Source organism: Homo sapiens, chromosome 16, assembly GCF_000001405.40.
Source record: "Homo sapiens chromosome 16, GRCh38.p14 Primary Assembly".
Taxonomy (NCBI): domain Eukaryota; kingdom Metazoa; phylum Chordata; class Mammalia; order Primates; family Hominidae; genus Homo; species Homo sapiens.
Genome location: NC_000016.10, coordinates 18,817,068 through 18,835,521, shown reverse-complemented (window position 1 = coordinate 18,835,521; position 18,454 = coordinate 18,817,068). Strand labels below are relative to the sequence as shown.

Genomic DNA, 18,454 nt, shown 5'->3' with positions numbered 1-18,454 from the left:
CCACGGGCGTGTGTCACCACGCCTGAACAATTTTTATATTTTTTTGTAGAGATGGAGTTTCGCCGTGTTGCCCAGGCTGGTCTCGAACTCCTGAGCTCAAGCGATCCTCCTGCCTTGGCCTCCCAAAGTGCTAGGATTACAGGTATGAGCCGTGGTGCCTGGCCTCAAATGTTGATTCTGTCACAGTCATCAACAAGTCCTTTTAGGAAATTGCTTAAGCTCTTGAGACATTTTTATCTGTAAAATGTAAATAATGATTTCTACTCTTCAAGTTTTGTTTGAGGATTAAATGCAATATTCTTTTGTATGTTGGGGGTGGTTGTGTTATAAACAAGCACCTCTTCCTTATTTTTATAGATATGAAATGCAATATGCTCCCCAGCCACCCCCAACAGTGTGTCAGTTCATCACTGCCACTGAAATGACCCTGCAGCGATACGCAGCAGACATCAACAGCAGACTTATTAGACAAGTGGAACGCTTGAAACAGGAAGCTGTCACTGTGCCAGTTTGTGAAGATCAGTTGAAAGAAATTGAACGTTGCATTAAAGTTTTCCTTCATGAGAATGGAGAAGAAGGATCTTTGAGTCTAGCAAGTGTTATTATTTCTGCCCTTTGTACCCTTACAAGGTAAGTTAGCCAACTTCATATTGGACCATTTCCTGTGTCTTATTTTTAATCCCAAACCTAAAATGTTCTTTTACTTTCCTTAGTCTTGCCAAGTGTTACAGCTGCTTACTTGCTTTTCAGATTTTAGTTATCTTGGTTGTGTTTTGAGACAGGGTCTCACTCTTGACACTGAGGCTGGAGTGCAGTGGCACGATCTCGGCTCACAGCAACCTCAGCCTCCTTAATAGCTGGGACTACAGGTGTGTGCCACCACACCTGGCTAATTTTTGTATTTTTTGGTAGAGATGGGGTTTTGCCATATTGATCAGGCTGGTCTCGAACTCCTGGCCTGAAGTCATCTACCTGCCTCGGCCTCCCAAAATGCTGGAATTACAGGCATGGCCTTGACCCGGCCAGTTACCTTGTTTTGTTTATACATTTAAGTTTCACTGTACAGATATTTATCTCTTGTAGGCGTAACCTGATGATGGAAGGTGCAGCGTCAAGTGCTGGAGAACAGCTGGTTGATCTGACTTCTCGGGATGGAGCCTGGTTCTTGGAGGAACTCTGCAGTATGAGCGGAAACGTCACCTGCTTGGTTCAGTTACTGAAGCAGTGCCACCTGGTGCCACAGGACTTAGATATCCCGAACCCCATGGAAGCGTCTGAGACAGTTCACTTAGCCAATGGAGTGTATACCTCACTTCAGGTGAACACTTTTATTTTAAATATTAGTTTGTTTTAGATACTGAATATTGTCTTTCTCATCTCTTTAACCCAGGAAAGCAATTTGACTTCCCCATTTGAATGTTGCTCAACCAGTCATTTAAAAGGAAGATAATTGTGAGATTTATAGCTATAACTTGGTTACAGTTGCTCTTTGTTTTTTTGAATTTTTATAGCAGCTTTATTTGTAATAGTCAAAAACTGGAATCAAGTCAAGTGTTCATCAAGCAAATGGACAAATATGGTACATCCACATAATGGAATACTTCTTAGCAATAAAAGTGAACGACACCTTGATAACATACAGCCACATGTATGACTTACAATAATTATGCTGAGTAAAGAAAGCTAGACATTTCTACCCCTATAAATGGAGAGTGTATAATATGAGAAAAAGCAGATCAGTGTTTACTTGGAGATGGAGGAGGTGGTATGGAGAAGTGTGAGTGAGAGAGATTAAGAAGTCAGGAGGAAATTTGTAGGGTAGTCGGTATGCTGATTTTCTTGATTGTGGTGACAGTTTCATGAGTGTATGCAAGTACCAAAGTATAACAAATTATATATTTTAAACATGCAGTTTATTATATGCAAATTATACCTTGATAAGACTTTTTTTTTTTGAAGGGAAATAGAAGCCACTTATAACCAAACCAAAAAGAGAATAACAATGCTAATATCACTACAGAAATATGATTCCTAAAAATTAATAACATTATATAACATACTTTAGGGCAGTTCTTTTTGTTCTTAAGGTACATCATCCTAGGAATGTTTAATTATATGACAACTTTTTAAAGTCATTTGAAATAGTTCCTGAAAAATTTCACATGACTATGAAATAGAATTTGAAAAGAAAATATTTAAAAGTAGAAATAAAAAGTAAACAAAAGATGTACTTACATGAATGAGTTGATGGCATAGTTACATAAGTTTGCTCTTAATGTATGGCTCTAAGTCTCCAAATGTGTAACTTAGCTAAACTCAAAAAACATTAAAAGTTTTTTTCTCATATATTTATAGGAATTGAATTCGAATTTCCGGCAAATCATATTTCCAGAAGCACTTCGATGTTTAATGAAAGGGGAATACACGTTAGAAAGTATGCTGCATGAACTGGACGGTCTTATTGAGCAGACCACCGATGGCGTTCCCCTGCAGACTCTAGTGGAATCTCTTCAGGCCTACTTAAGAAACGCAGCTATGGGACTGGAAGAAGAAACACATGCTCATTACATCGATGTTGCCAGGCAAGTGAATGCTGGCTGTGCCGTTTCCTTGTAAAAGAGATGGGACAGCCAGAGAAAGGGATTCTGAGCTCTTTAACGTAAGTTTACTTTTAGTTTTTAGAGCAGGTATAATTACTTATAAATGCTCATACACGTATCTTTTTAAAACTTTTTTATTTTGAAATAATTATACATCACGAGAAGTTGCTTAAAAAAAAAGTGCAGGCAGGTATTGTGCATGCTTCATCCTTCCTTCAGTGTTAGTATCTATAGTAACACTATGAAACCGACAATGATATAGTCCACACCGCTTACTCAGATTTCACTAGTTATACATGCACTTATTTGTGTGTGTGTGTGTGTGTGTGTGTGTGTGTGCAAGTGTATAGTTCGGTCACATACATACATATATCCTTTTAGTGCTTGTAGTTATGTACATGTACATACACACAGTCGAACATGATATTTTTAAGCCATCTTGTAGAACCCCTTGGAGACACCTGAAACAGTTTATTTAGCTAACAGAGTACACACCTCATTTCAGGTGAATACTTTTAAATTAGTTTAAATATTGTAAGTTTGTTTTAGCTAATTGGATATTGTATTTTTCATCTCATTAGTCCAGAAAAGCAATCTGACTTTGGAATCTGTAGAGTTTGGGCAGTTCCTGCAGACATGCATTGTACTCAGAGCTAATCCCTAAGCTTCTTTGTGCCTAGTGACTCAGGGCCTCTTTTCTTTGGCGTTCCAATGTCTAATTCACAGAAGAAGTATAATTGAGAGAGTAGAAATGAATTGTAGCACCGTTTCCTCCCATGGGAAATTTCAAAGATACAAGACTGTAGAGAGAATAGTCTAATGAACCCCCTGCCACCACCTTTGGTAATTATCTGCACTGGGCTAGTCTGGTTTAAATTTACTACCCTAGTTATTTAGAAGCAAATATTTTTTCATTCTTAAATATTAATAATGCAGAAAGTATACATATATATGTAATCTTATTTTTCTTGACTGTGGTGCCATTATTTCATGAAAAAAGTAGCAATAATTCCTTAATGTTAATTATCCTGCATTCAGAAATTTCCTGTTTCTCATGTTTCTTTGGAGTGGTTATATTCATAAAATAATAAATATATTCATATATATTCATAAATATGTACGTGTGTGTGTATATATATATATATATGTATTTTTTTTTTTTTTTTTGAGATGGAGTCTTGCTGTGTCGCTAGGCTGGAGTGCAATGGTGCGATCTCGGCTCGCTGCAGCCTCCATCTCCCGGGTTCAAGAGATTCTCCTGGCTCAGCCTCCCTAGTAGCTGGGACTATGGACGTATGCCCCCATGCCCGGCTAGAAAAAGTATAATCATTAATAGCATAAATATTAGATTATTTATAGAACAGCTTTATCATATAATTTTTAGCAGTATTTAAAAAGTTAAATGCTAGATCTGTACATCTTTGTTTTGCACTGAATTTCAGACTTCATTTTATCTCTCTTAATATCTTATCTGGGTTCCCCTTATCCTCATACAGAGGAATGTTTACCTAAATGTGTACTTTGGGTAACAAACTTTGTGCCTGGATCTATGGCAGCCTGTCTGTGCCTTGTTTCAGAGAAGCTTTTTTTGGGTAATCTCAAGGAAAATCTCATACCATCTTACAGCTCTTTTTCCATTAGAAATTTATCTGGTAGTTTAACATTTTTAATTCTCTTAAAAATTCTTAATAGTTCCAGCCATTTGGAATGGTTTCTGTGTGTGTGTGTGATAAGAAATAGTGCCTGGATACATAAGCACTATGTAAGTCTTAATGGTAATGTGAGGGGTGAATTTCTGAAGACCTTACATTCAAAATGTGCATAAATAAAAACCAAGCATACCCAAAATAGCAAGTATACTTGGTTGTATCGTATCTTGTAGTAATAGTGCGAACATACCTGACAATTTACTAGGTCCGCCAGCTTTAGAATGGTGTGATTTCTGACATTTTTCAATACAGGATTTTAAATTATTTCATATTTTGTGTGTAAAAATGAGACTGATCACTGAAGTTTGCATAAAATTTAATCACATAACAGTCATTAATAACGAATTGGAATCATTGAAATCCTATTGTGGTTGACATGAAATACCATTTTATCATCATAACATTCCTTCTTTTTTTTTGAGATGGAGTTTCGCTCTTGTTGCCCAGACTGGAGTGTAATGGCGCGATCTTGGCCTCCTAGGCAACCTCCGCCTCCTAGGTTCAAGCGATTCTCCTAGCCTCAGCCTCCTGAGTAGCTGGGACTACAGGTGCCCACCATCACACTCGGCTGATTTTTTTGTATTTTTAGTAGAGACGGGGTTTCTCCATGTTGGTCAGGCTGGTCTTGAACTCCTGACCTCAGGTGATCTGCCCACCTCGGCCTGCCAAAGTGCTGGATTACAGGCGTGAGCCACCGCGCCCGGCCTAATAACACTTCTTCTTAATGCCAGAAGGCTTTCTAGACTCTCACAGCATGCAGCTGTGAGATGTACTGACTTTGTATGTTCCCACCAAAGGCATTACTTTTCAGCGAAGGTTTTAACTCCTTTTGTTTTTCTGTAGACTACTACATGCTCAGTACGGTGAATTAATCCAACCGAGAAATGGTTCAGTTGATGAAACACCCAAAATGTCAGCTGGCCAGATGCTTTTGGTAGCATTCGATGGCATGTTTGCTCAAGTTGAAACTGCTTTCAGCTTATTAGTTGAAAAGGTAAATGTGGACTTGGATTTAAAAATAATGCAAGTGCCATAAAGTAGTTGTTCAGTTGTGTCAAGAGTGGAGAAATGAACTTTGTTTTCTTTCATTTACATAGTTGAACAAGATGGAAATTCCCATAGCTTGGCGAAAGATTGACATCATAAGGGAAGCCAGGAGTACTCAAGTTAATTTTTTTGATGATGATAATCACCGGCAGGTGCTAGAAGAGATTTTCTTTCTAAAAAGACTACAGACTATTAAGGAGTTCTTCAGGCTCTGTGGTACCTTTTCTAAAACATTGTCAGGTAATATTCTACCTGTAAACATACTAGCTTTAGCTATGTAGCACTATGGAAGGGGGCAGGATAGAGTAGGCTTAATTTAATTATACATTCATGACACCTTAAATACTATAAATAAGCAGCATATTACCTGATTTTTTTCATGAAATACAAGAAATTTTTCCTTTTTGTAGGATCAAGTTCACTTGAAGATCAGAATACTGTGAATGGGCCTGTACAGATTGTCAATGTGAAAACCCTTTTTAGAAACTCTTGTTTCAGTGAAGACCAAATGGCCAAACCTATCAAGGCATTCACAGCTGACTTTGTGAGGCAGCTCTTGATAGGGCTACCCAACCAAGCCCTCGGACTCACACTGTGCAGTTTTATCAGTGCTCTGGGTGTAGACATCATTGCTCAAGTAGAGGCAAAGGACTTTGGTGCCGAAAGCAAAGTTTCTGTTGATGATCTCTGTAAGAAAGCGGTGGAACATAACATCCAGATAGGGAAGTTCTCTCAGCTGGTTATGAACAGGGCAACTGTGTTAGCAAGTTCTTACGACACTGCCTGGAAGAAGCATGACTTGGTGCGAAGGCTAGAAACCAGTATTTCTTCTTGTAAGACAAGCCTGCAGCGGGTTCAGCTGCATATTGCCATGTTTCAGGTAAGTGTTTTTGTTTATAATGTGTTTTTCCTCAAGGTAGGAAACTTGAAAAATGGGGGAAATTAATTTAAAACAATACACAGAAATTTTTTTAAAACTTCCTGAACTCACAGCAACCCAATGCAAACACACCATAGCATTTTGGCACTTTCTTTCCAATGATACTTCGTTTCTCTTCTGTATAGTTGAGATCATTTATCCTTTATGGTTTGTGTCCTTAGAATTTCTTTCCATCAAGGCTGTATGATAAGCATGATCTGTATTAAATATTGCTTTTTTTTTTTTTTGAGATGGAGTTTTGCTCTTCTTGCCCAGACTGGAGTGCAATGGCGCGATCTCGGCTCACCGCAACCTCCGCCTCCTGGGTTCAAGCGATTCTCCCTCCTCAGCCTCCCTAGTAGCTGGGATTACAGGCATGTGCCACCACGCCTGGCTAATTTTGTATTTTTAGTAGAGATGGGGTTTCTCCATGTTGGTCAGGCTGGTCTCGAACTCCCGAGCCTAGGTGATCCACCCGCCTTGGCCTCCCAAAGTGCTGGGATTATAGGCGTGAGCCACCATGCCTGGCATAAATATAGTTTTTAATGTTGAATTCATTCATATGTAGGTATGCTTCCTGTATTTATTTCTAAAGTAGTTTCTCTTTCCTTGATGCCTTATTGATGTGATAAACAGCTTTGGGAATAAATCTGTCTTTATTTTGGAAATGGTTTTTAGAAGCCTAGTTTTGGCCTTAATTACTTAGGGGATGTATAACAGCACAGGCTTTGGGGTGAGATGGATTTGTATTCAAATGAGACTTGGGTATATAAACTTGTACTTAACTTCCTTAAGCTCTGATTTCCTTAACTGTAGTTAACATCTTCAGAATTACTATTTAAATGGTGCATGTGAGTGATCCAAGAAATTTATTAGCCATGTTCTACCTCAAGAAGTCTTTCACCTGGATGTGATTTTTTTCAGTGTGTCTTTTCTGTTACTTCTCCCTGCTTACCTCCCATTGGCTGCAGCTGGGATTTTTTTCTCTTCCGCCAGTCCTAGGTTGCGCCTCCCTTCCCTTATTTATCTAAACGCTTTTTTCCTGCTGATTTTAATACATTTCTTTTTCTCTCAACAGTGGCAACATGAAGATCTACTTATCAATAGACCACAAGCCATGTCAGTCACACCTCCCCCACGGTCTGCTATCCTAACCAGCATGAAAAAGAAGCTGCATACCCTGAGCCAGATTGAAACTTCTATTGCAACAGTTCAGGTGTGTTTTGCCAGATCTTCCTTCCAGGGCATTTTCTTTTTAGAAATAACCAATACTATGATTGTTAGTGCTCTGTTGTTCAGTGTGTCTATTTGTGTGTCCTTGGCTTGTAAGCCAGAAGAGCATAATTTTTTTCACTTTTGCTTTTAATTTATACATATATATATATATATAGGTATATATATACCAAAGATATATAAAAACATATACTTTGGTATATTTATACCAAATACCAAAATATATATAAAATATATATTTAGATATATTTATACCAAAGATATATAAAAATATATATTTTGGTATATTTATACCAAATATATATATAAAATATATATTTAGATATATTTATACCAAATATATATAAAAATATATATTTTGGTATATTTATACCAAATATATATAAAAATATATATTTTGGTATATTTATACCAAATATATCTAAAAATATATATTTTGGTATATTTATACCAAAGATATATAAAAAAATATATTTTGGTATATTTATACCAAAGATATATAAAAATATATATTTTGGTATATTTATACCAAATATATATAAAAATATATATATATAGGTATATTTATACCTATATATATATATTTTGGAGACAGAGTCTCGCTTTGTTGCCCAGGTTGGAGTGCAGTGGCACTATCTCACCTCACTGCAACCTCTGCCTCTCGGGTTCAAGCGATTCTCCTGCCTCAGCCTCTGAAGTAGCTGGGACTACAGGCACGCACCACCATGTCCAGCTAATTTTTGTATTTTTATAGAGACGGGGTTTCACCATGCTGGCCAGGCTGGTCTCAAACTCCTGACCTCAGGTGATCTGCCCACCTTGGCCTCCCAAAACACTGGGATTGCAGGCTTGAGCCACCGCACCCGGCCTATATTTTTTATTTCTTACCCTCCAAGGTAACTGAATCTTATAGTAACAGGTATATTTTGAACCAGGAGTAGAAACATACTAAATATCTCCGAGTCAAAGAAAGGGGTGACGGACGTACCTGGAAAATCGGGTCACTCCCACCCGAATATTACGCTTTTCAGACCGGCTTAAGAAACGGCGCACCACGAGACTATATCCCACACCTGGCTCAGAGGGTCCTACGCCCACGGAATCTCGCTGATTGCTAGCACAGCAGTCTGAGATCAAACTGCAAGGCGGCAACGAGGCTGGGGGAGGGGCGCCCGCCATTGCCCAGGCTTGCTTAGGTAAACAAAGCAGCCGGGAAGCTCGAACTGGGTGGAGCCCACCACAGCTCAAGGAGGCCTGCCTGCCTCTGTAGGCTCCACCTCTGGGGGCAGGGCACAGACAAACAAAAAGACAGCAGTAACCTCTGCAGACTTAAGTGTCCCTGTCTGACAGCTTTGAAGAGAGCAGTGGTTCTCCCAGCACGCAGCTGGAGATCTGAGAACGGGCAGACTGCCTCCTCAAGTGGGTCCCTGACCCCTGACCCCCGAGCAGCCTAACTGGGAGGCACCCCCCAGCAGGGGCACACTGACACCTCACACGGCAGGGTATTCCAACAGACCTGCAGCTGAGGGTCCTGTCTGTTAGAAGGAAAACTAACAACCAGAAAGGACATCTACACCGAAAACCCATCTGTACATCACCATCATCAAAGACCAAAAGTAGATAAAACCACAAAGATGGGGAAAAAACAGAACAGAAAAACTGGAAACTCTAAAACGCAGAGCGCCTCTCCTCCTCCAAAGGAACGCAGTTCCTCACTAGCAACAGAACAAAGCTGGATGGAGAATGATTTTGACGAGCTGAGAGAAGAAGGCTTCAGACGATCAAATTACTCTGAGCTACGGGAGGACATTCAAACCAAAGGCAAAGAAGTTGAAAACTTTGAAAAAAATTTAGAAGAATGTATAACTAGAATAACCAATACAGAGAAGTGCTTAAAGGAGCTGATGGAGCTGAAAACCAAGGCTCGAGAACTACGTGAAGAATGCAGAAGCCTCAGGAGCCGATGCAATCAACTGGAAGAAAGGGTATCAGCAATGGAAGATGAAATGAATGAAATGAAGCGAGAAGGGAAGTTTAGAGAAAAAAGAATAAAAAGAAATGAGCAAAGCCTCCAAGAAATATGGGACTATGTGAAAAGACCAAATCTACGTCTGATTGGTGTACCTGAAAGTGATGTGGAGAATGGAACCAAGTTGGAAAACACTCTGCAGGATATTATCCAGGAGAACTTCCCCAATCTAGCAAGGCAGGCCAACGTTCAGATTCAGGAAATACAGAGAACGCCACAAAGATACTCCTCGAGAAGAGCAACTCCAAGACACATAATTGTCAGATTCACCAAAGTTGAAATGAAGGAAAAAATGTTAAGGGCAGCCAGAGAGAAAGGTCGGGTTACCCTCAAAGGAAAGCCCATCAGACTAACAGCGGATCTCTCGGCAGAAACCCTACAAGCCAGAAGAGAGTGGGGGCCAATATTCAACATTCTTAAAGAAAAGAATTTTCAACCCAGAATTTCATATCCAGCCAAACTAAGCTTCATAAGTGAAGGAGAAATAAAATACTTTATGGACAAGCAAATGCTGAGAGATTTTGTCACCACCAGGCCTGCCCTAAAAGAGCTCCTGAAGGAAGCACTAAACATGGAAAGGAACAACCGGTACCAGCCGCTGCAAAATCATGCCAAAATGTAAAGACCATCGAGACTAGGAAGAAACTGCATCAACTAATGAGCAAAATCACCAGCTAACATCATAATGACAGGATCAAATTCACACATAACAATATTAACTTTAAATATAAATGGACTAAATTCTGCAATTAAAAGACACAGACTGGCAAGTTGGATAAAGAGTCAAGACCCATCAGTGTGCTGTATTCAGGAAACCCATCTCACGTGCAGAGACACACATAGGCTCAAAATAAAAGGATGGAGGAAGATCTACCAAGCAAATGGAAAACAAAAAAAGGCAGGGGTTGCAATCCTAGTCTCTGATAAAACAGACTTCAAACCAACAAAGATCAAAAGAGACAAAGAAGGCCATTACATAATGGTAAAGGGATCAATTCAACAAGAGGAGCTAACTATCCTAAATATTTATGCACCCAATACAGGAGCACCCAGATTCATAAAGCAAGTCCTCAGTGACCTACAAAGAGACTTAGACTCCCACACATTAATAATGGGAGACTTTAACACCCCACTGTCAACATTAGACAGATCAACGAGACAGAAAGTCAACAAGGATACCCAGGAATTGAACTCAGCTCTGCACCAAGCAGACCTAATAGACATCTACAGAACTCTCCACCCCAAATCAACAGAATATACATTTTTTTCAGCACCACACCACACCTATTCCAAAATTGACCACATAGTTGGAAGTAAAGCTCTCCTCAGCAAATGTAAAAGAACAGAAATTATAACAAACTATCTCTCAGACCACAGTGCAATCAAACTAGAACTCAGGATTAAGAATCTCACTCAAAGCCGCTCAACTACATGGAAACTGAACAACCTGCTCCTGAATGACTACTGGGTACATAACGAAATGAAGGCAGAAATAAAGATGTTCTTTGAAACCAACGAGAACAAAGACACCACATACCAGAATCTCTGGGACGCATTCAAAGCAGTGTGTAGAGGGAAATTTATAGCACTAAATGCCTACAAGAGAAAGCAGGAAAGATCCAAAATTGACACCCTAACATCACAATTAAAAGAACTAGAAAAGCAAGAGCAAACACATTCAAAAGCTAGCAGAAGGCAAGAAATAACTAAAATCAGAGCAGAACTGAAGGAAATAGAGACACAAAAAACCCTTCAAAAAATCAATGAATCCAGGAGCTGGTTTTTTGAAAGGATCAACAAAATTGATAGACCGCTAGCAAGACTAATAAAGAAAAAAAGAGAGAAGAATCAAATAGACACAATAAAAAATGATAAAGGGGATATCACCACCGATCCCACAGAAATACAAACTACCATCAGAGAATACTACAAACACCTCTACGCAAATAAACTAGAAAATCTAGAAGAAATGGATACATTCCTCGACACATACACTCTCCCAAGACTAAACCAGGAAGAAGTTGAATCTCTGAATAGACCAATAACAGGCTCTGAAATTGTGGCAATAATCAATAGTTTACCAACCAAAAAGAGTCCAGGACCAGATGGATTCACAGCCGAATTCTACCAGAGGTACAAGGAGGAACTGGTACCATTCCTTCTGAAACTATTCCAATCAATAGAAAAAGAGGGAATCCTCCCTAACTCATTTTATGAGGCCAGCATCATTCTGATACCAAAGCCGGGCAGAGACACAACCAAAAAAGAGAATTTTAGACCAATATCCTTGATGAACATTGATGCAAAAATCCTCAATAAAATACTGGCAAACCGAATCCAGCAGCACATCAAAAAGCTTATCCACCATGATCAAGTGGGCTTCATCCCTGGGATGCAAGGCTGGTTCAATATACGCAAATCAATAAATGTAATCCAGCATATAAACAGAGCCAAAGACAAAAACCACATGATTATCTCAATAGATGCAGAAAAAGCCTTTGACAAAATTCAACAACCCTTCATGCTAAAAACTCTCAATAAATTAGGTATTGATGGGACGTATTTCAAAATAATAAGAGCTATCTATGACAAACCCACAGCCAATATCATACTGAATGGGCAAAAACTGGAAGCATTCCCTTTGAAAACTGGCACAAGACAGGGATGCCCTCTCTCACCGCTCCTATTCAACATAGTGTTGGAAGTTCTGGCCAGGGCAATCAGGCAGGAGAAGGAAATAAAGGGTATTCAATTAGGAAAAGAGGAAGTCAAATTGTCCCTGTTTGCAGACGACATGATTGTTTATCTAGAAAACCCCATCATCTCAGCGCAAAATCTCCTTAAGCTGATAAGCAACTTCAGCAAAGTCTCAGGATACAAAATCAATGTACAAAAATCACAAGCATTCTTATACACCAACAACAGACAAACAGAGAGCCAAATCATGGGTGAACTCCCATTCACAATTGCTTCAAAGAGAATAAAATACTTAGGAATCCAACTTACAAGGGATGTGAAGGACCTCTTCAAGGAGAACTACAAACCACTGCTCAAGGAAATAAAAGAGGACACAAACAAATGGAAGAACATTCCATGCTCATGGGTAGGAAGAATCAATATCGTGAAAATGGCCATACTGCCCAAGGTAATTTACAGATTCAATGCCATCCCCATCAAGCTACCAATGACTTTCTTCACAGAATTGGAAAAAACTACTTTAAAGTTCATATGGAACCAAAAAAGAGCCCGCATTGCCAAGTCAATCCTAAGCCAAAAGAACAAAGCTGGAGGCATCACACTACCTGACTTCAAACTATACTACAAGGCTACAGTAACCAAAACAGCATGGTACTGGTACCAAAACAGAGATATAGATCAATGGAACAGAACAGAGCCCTCAGAAATAATGCCGCATATCTACAACTATCTGATCTTTGACAAACCTGAGAAAAACAAGAAATGGGGAAAGGATTCCCTATTTAATAAATGGTGCTGGGAAAACTGGCTAGCCATATGTAGAAAGCTGAAACTGGATCCCTTCCTTACACCTTATACAAAAATCAATTCAAGATGGATTAAAGACTTAAATGTTAGACCTAAAACCATAAAAACCCTAGAAGAAAACCTAGGCATTACCATTCAGGACATAGGTGTGGGCAAGGACTTCATGTCCAAAACACCAAAAGCAATGGCAACAAAAACCAAAATTGACAAATGGGATCTAATTAAACTAAAGAGCTTCTGCACAGCAAAAGAAACTACCATCAGAGTGAACAGGCAACCTACAACATGGGAGAAAATTTTTGCAACCTACTCATCTGACAAAGGGCTAATATCCAGAATCTACAATGAACTCAAACAAATTTACAAGAAAAAAACAAACAACCCCATCAAAAAGTGGGCGAAGGACATGAACAGACACTTCTCAAAAGAAGACATTTATGCAGCCAAAAAACACATGAAAAAATGCTCATCATCACTGGCCATCAGAGAAATGCAAATCAAAACCACTATGAGATATCATCTCACACCAGTTAGAATGGCAATCATTAAAAAGTCAGGAAACAACAGGTGCTGGAGAGGATGTGGAGAAATAGGAACACTTTTACACTGTTGGTGGGACTGTAAACTAGTTCAACCATTGTGGAAGTCAGTGTGGCGATTCCTCAGGGATCTAGAACTAGAAATACCATTTGACCCAGCCATCCCATTACTGGGTATATACCCAAAGGACTATAAATCATGCTGCTATAAAGACACATGCACACGTATGTTTATTGCGGCACTATTCACAATAGCAAAGACTTGGAACCAACCCAAATGTCCAACAATGATAGTCTGGATTAAGAAAATGTGGCACATATACACCATGGAATACTATGCAGCCATAAAAAATGATGAGTTCATATCCTTTGTAGGGACATGGATGAAATTGGAAACCATCATTCTCAGTAAACTATCGCAAGAACAAAAAACCAAACACCGCATATTCTCACTCATAGGTGGGAATTGAACAATGAGATCACATGGACACAGGAAGGGGAATATCACACTCTGGGGACTGTGGTGGGGTCGGGGGAGGCGGGAGGGATAGCATTGGGAGATATACCTAATGCTAGATGACACATTAGTGGGTGCAGCGCACCAGCATGGCACATGTATACATATGTAACTAACCTGCACAATGTGCACATGTACCCTAAAACTGAGAGTATAATAAAAAAAAAAAAAAGAAAAAAAAAAGAAAAAAAAAAAAAAAAAAAGAAACATACTAAATATCTCAGGTTTTTAATGAATTTGATAATTACTGTGCCTTAATACATTAAGGAAATTTTGATGATTAGAAAAACTTTGAATACTGAATTTGTTTTGTGAAATGTATATAAGTAGTTCTATTTTGTTTATTAGTAGTAGCTAACAAGCATGGGCATTTCTTATGTTGTATAGATAATGGAATTTTGTGATGCCTAAGGCAGCAGAATATTTTTCTGAACTATTATAGTGACTGGATATTGAAAGCTATGTACATAATCCTTCTACTTATTTTTTTACATAAGAGAAACTTGCCTTAATGAAAGTTATGTGTATCTTTATATTGTCTGTCCTTTATACTTCATGTACTCAGTAGTAACTGACATTTTTGTTTTTGTAAATTAATAGCAGTATAAAATCAAGTATAATTCTGTGATGTTTTAAAAGTTTTTTAATGAAGCTTTTTTGGAGCTCAGTCATTTGAAGATTGAAATAAGCTTTCTCTACAGTGTATTGGTCAGAGAAAAGATGTGTTTTCAACTTACAAGAATGAACTCTTCCTCTTTATGATTTTAGAGACATGGACATGCAGGAAAGTAGAGGGAGTTGGGGAGAGAAAATGTGAATGCGTCCACCTGAAATGTTGAATAAATAATCAAATAACTTTGTTACATTAAACTTTCCTCGTCATGATAATCTGGATGGATTTTTACCATTGTTCATAAACTTGGCCAGGCATGGTGGTTCATGCCTATAATCCCAGCACTTTGGGAGGCCGAGGTGGGTGGATTGCTTGAGGCCAGGAGTTTGAGACCAGCCTGGGCAACATAGTAAAACCTCGTCTCTACAGAAAATACAAAAAATTAGTTGGGCATGGTGGCACGCACCTCTTGTCCCAGCTTCTTTGGAAGCTGAGGTGGGAGGATGGCTTGAGCTCAGGAGGCGGGGGTTGCAGTGAGCCAAGATAGTAGCTGGGCGTGCTGGCTCACACCTGTAATCCCAGCACTTTGGGAGGCCGAGGCGGGTGGATCATGAGGTCAGGAGTTCAAGACCAGCCTGGCCAAGATGGTAAAACTCCGTCTTTACTAAAACTACAAAAATTAGCCAGGCACGATGGCAGGTGCCTGTAGTCCCAGCTACTCGGGAGGCTGAGGCAGGAGAATCGCTTGAACCCAGGTGACAGAGGTTGCAGTGAGCTGAGATTGCACCACTGCAACTCCAGCCTGGGTGACAGAGTGAGACTCCGTCTCAAAAGAAAAAAAAAAGAATTTGGTGTAGCATATTTTTTATTTTTTAAAGATCATTTTATTTTAAAATGAAAGTGAAACTTCCTTCTGTACGTTTTAAGATAATAAACTGAAAGCCAGTTCTTGCCTCTCTCTCCATACATGTTTGGCCTTAAATGTTCAAAGTGAAATCAAGGTTAATTCCAAAAGGTGATTGTTAAAACTTTTGTTTTCTAAATTACATGTGTCCACCCTGGTTCTTTTGAATCTTTATTGTGTTATATAAAATACTCCACAAATAGGAAGTAGAGAATGTCATATACCTTCACCAAGATTCTGCTGGCTTTTATAGGAGAAGCTAGCTGCACTTGAATCAAGTATTGAACAGCGACTCAAGTGGGCAGGTGGTGCCAACCCTGCATTGGCCCCTGTACTACAAGATTTTGAAGCAACGATAGCTGAAAGAAGAAATCTTGTCCTTAAAGAGAGCCAAAGAGCAAGTCAGGTATTGTGACTTACATGCACCATCTTTGTATTCACTTTTACAGGATTAGATGAGTAGCTGGAAGTTATATGTGGGGTAACTAGGGGAGCTTGAGAGCCCACGTTCTGGCTCACAGCCCTGGGAGGAGGGACGGATGGGCCTTTCAGGACATGCCTTAAGTTGAACCCACAGCAGGTTATTTCCTTGGCCTTTACTGCCTCTCATTTAAATATTAATTAAATAAATTCAGCCTCTGTTGAAAAATAAAGAGGTCTTAAATTCATATCTGTTTAAGGTTCTCTGGGTCTCTTTTATACAACTAAAGTGATCCAAAGATTTGGAAAGGTACTTGGAATATTATTTTTTCCACATGACAATAAAACGTCTTAAGACCTTGTGCCCTGTTGGCCAGGCGCCGTGGCTTACGCCTGTAATCCCAGCACTTTGGGAGGCTGAGGTGGGTGGATCACAAGGTCAGGAGTTCAAGACCAGCGTGACCAATATGGTGAAACCCCGTCTCTGCTAAAAATACAAAAAAATTAGCTGGGTGTGGTGGTGGGTACCTGTAGTCCCAACTGCTCAGGAGTCTGAGGCAGGGGAATCGCTTGAACCTGGGAGCCAGAGGTTCCAGTGATCCAAGATCGTGCCACTGAATTCCAGCCTGGGTGACAGAGCAAGACTCTGTCTCAAAAAAAAAAAAAAAAGGACCTTGTGCCCTGTCAAGAGGCTGTGGATTGGGCAGGGGGAGGAGAACCAAAAAAACTATTACGGACATTTTCAACTAAGTACAAAATTGGACTAATACATGATACTCATACTTCATACCTGTCGCCAGTGCTTAATAATGATCAACTTAAGTCTTATCTTATTTCACCCATACTCCCTAATCCTCCTTTCTATCCATATTTAATAGAAATCCCAAATAGTGCATAATTTTATCTATAAATTTTTCAGTATATACCTATTAAGAACTATTTAAGAATGTATCATAGCTGGGCATGGTGGTATGTCCCTTTAGCTCTAGCTGCTCAGAAGTCTGAGGCGGGAGGATGGCTTGAAGCTAGGAGTTTGAAACCAGCCTGGGCAACATAGCAAGACACTGTCTCTACCAAAAAAAAAATTTTTTTTGTTTTTTTTGAGACGGAGTTTTGCTCTTGTTGCCCAGGCTGTAGTGCAGTGGCGTGATCTTGGCTCACTGCAACCTCTGCCTCCCGAGTTCAAGTGATTCTCCTGCCTCAGCCTCCCAAGTAGCTGGGATTACAGGCACCCGCCACCATGCCCAGCTAAGTTTTTTGTATTTTTAGTAGAGACGGGGTTTCACCATGTTGGCCAGGTTAGTTTCGAACTCCTGACCTCAGGTGATCCGCTGGCCTCAGCCTCCCAAAGTGCTGGGATTACAGGTGTGAGCCACCACACCTGGCCAATAAATTTTTTTTTTTTTTTTAGCTAGGCATGGTGGCACGCACCTCTGGTCCCAGCTGGGAGACTAGCTACCTGGGAGACTAAGGCGGTAGGATTGCTTGAGCCCAGGAGTTTAAGGCTACAGTGAGCCATAATTAAGCCACTATACTCCAGCCTGGGCAACAGGGGAGACCTTGTCTCAAAGGGAAAAAACAAAAAAACTAACCACAATATTAATCATACCTTTAAAATGAGCTTAATACTGCCAGATAAGTTAGGCAAGAATAGAAGCAGAAGGGGAACATTCTGACAGAAGTGTCTTCTGAATTGTGGCTGTAACACAAATTGCAGCTGAATATAACAGCTTTATTGTGGAGTAAATATTCTATGTAAAAACAGTAATGTAGAAGATAAATTTACCTAATTGTTTGTCAGTGCTTTTGGCCATCTCAGACCTAACAGTGTCAGTATAAATGTACATTTATTTACAGCCTTTATAAGGTTTTGGTCTATTTCCCAAACATTTTCAGGACCAATTCTGGTCCTGAATTCTCAAAATGAGGAAGTAGTATTTTTTCATGTTATTAATTGCCACCTCCCTTTCCCACCTTCCTCCCATCTCCTCTTGTGGTTCCATTTCTGTCTTTACAGGTCACATTTCTCTGCAGCAATATCATTCATTTTGAAAGTTTACGAACAAGAACTGCAGAAGCCTTAAACCTGGATGCGGCGTTATTTGAACTAATCAAGCGATGTCAGCAGATGTGTTCGTTTGCATCACAGTTTAACAGTTCAGTGTCTGAGTTAGAGCTTCGTTTATTACAGAGAGTGGTGAGTCTTGGTGGAAAGAAACTTGATTAAATAAGGCTAGTGTTATACTATTAAAATCAATTTAATATATACATTCCGATTACATTCGTTGAGCATATACTGTATGTAAGAGGTTGTTAGGGGGGCGGGGGGACAGTGATGATTAAATTATTTTCTTAGCGCCCCCCCCCCCGCCCCGAAACATATTATATGTTTAAAAATATAAAAAATGAGGAAGTGTAAA

At 39.5% G+C, this 18,454-nt stretch overlaps 1 protein-coding gene across 14 annotated transcripts in view; it reads left to right on the top strand.

Moving 5' to 3' along the window:
• SMG1 (SMG1 nonsense mediated mRNA decay associated PI3K related kinase) overlaps positions 1-18,454 on the top strand; it is a 121,549-nt gene that overhangs the window by 90,887 nt on the left and 12,208 nt on the right. For all 14 annotated transcript variants that reach the window (XM_047433796.1, XM_005255184.5, XM_047433793.1 and 11 more), the window contains 9 exons: positions 358-630; positions 1,084-1,318; positions 2,356-2,582; positions 5,153-5,303; positions 5,407-5,596; positions 5,767-6,236; positions 7,354-7,491; positions 15,868-16,020; positions 18,052-18,231. In XM_047433796.1, coding sequence (XP_047289752.1) covers positions 358-630; positions 1,084-1,318; positions 2,356-2,582; positions 5,153-5,303; positions 5,407-5,596; positions 5,767-6,236; positions 7,354-7,491; positions 15,868-16,020; positions 18,052-18,231 — 2,017 coding nt within the window. The remainder of the gene's footprint in view (positions 1-357; positions 631-1,083; positions 1,319-2,355; positions 2,583-5,152; positions 5,304-5,406; positions 5,597-5,766; positions 6,237-7,353; positions 7,492-15,867; positions 16,021-18,051; positions 18,232-18,454) is intronic.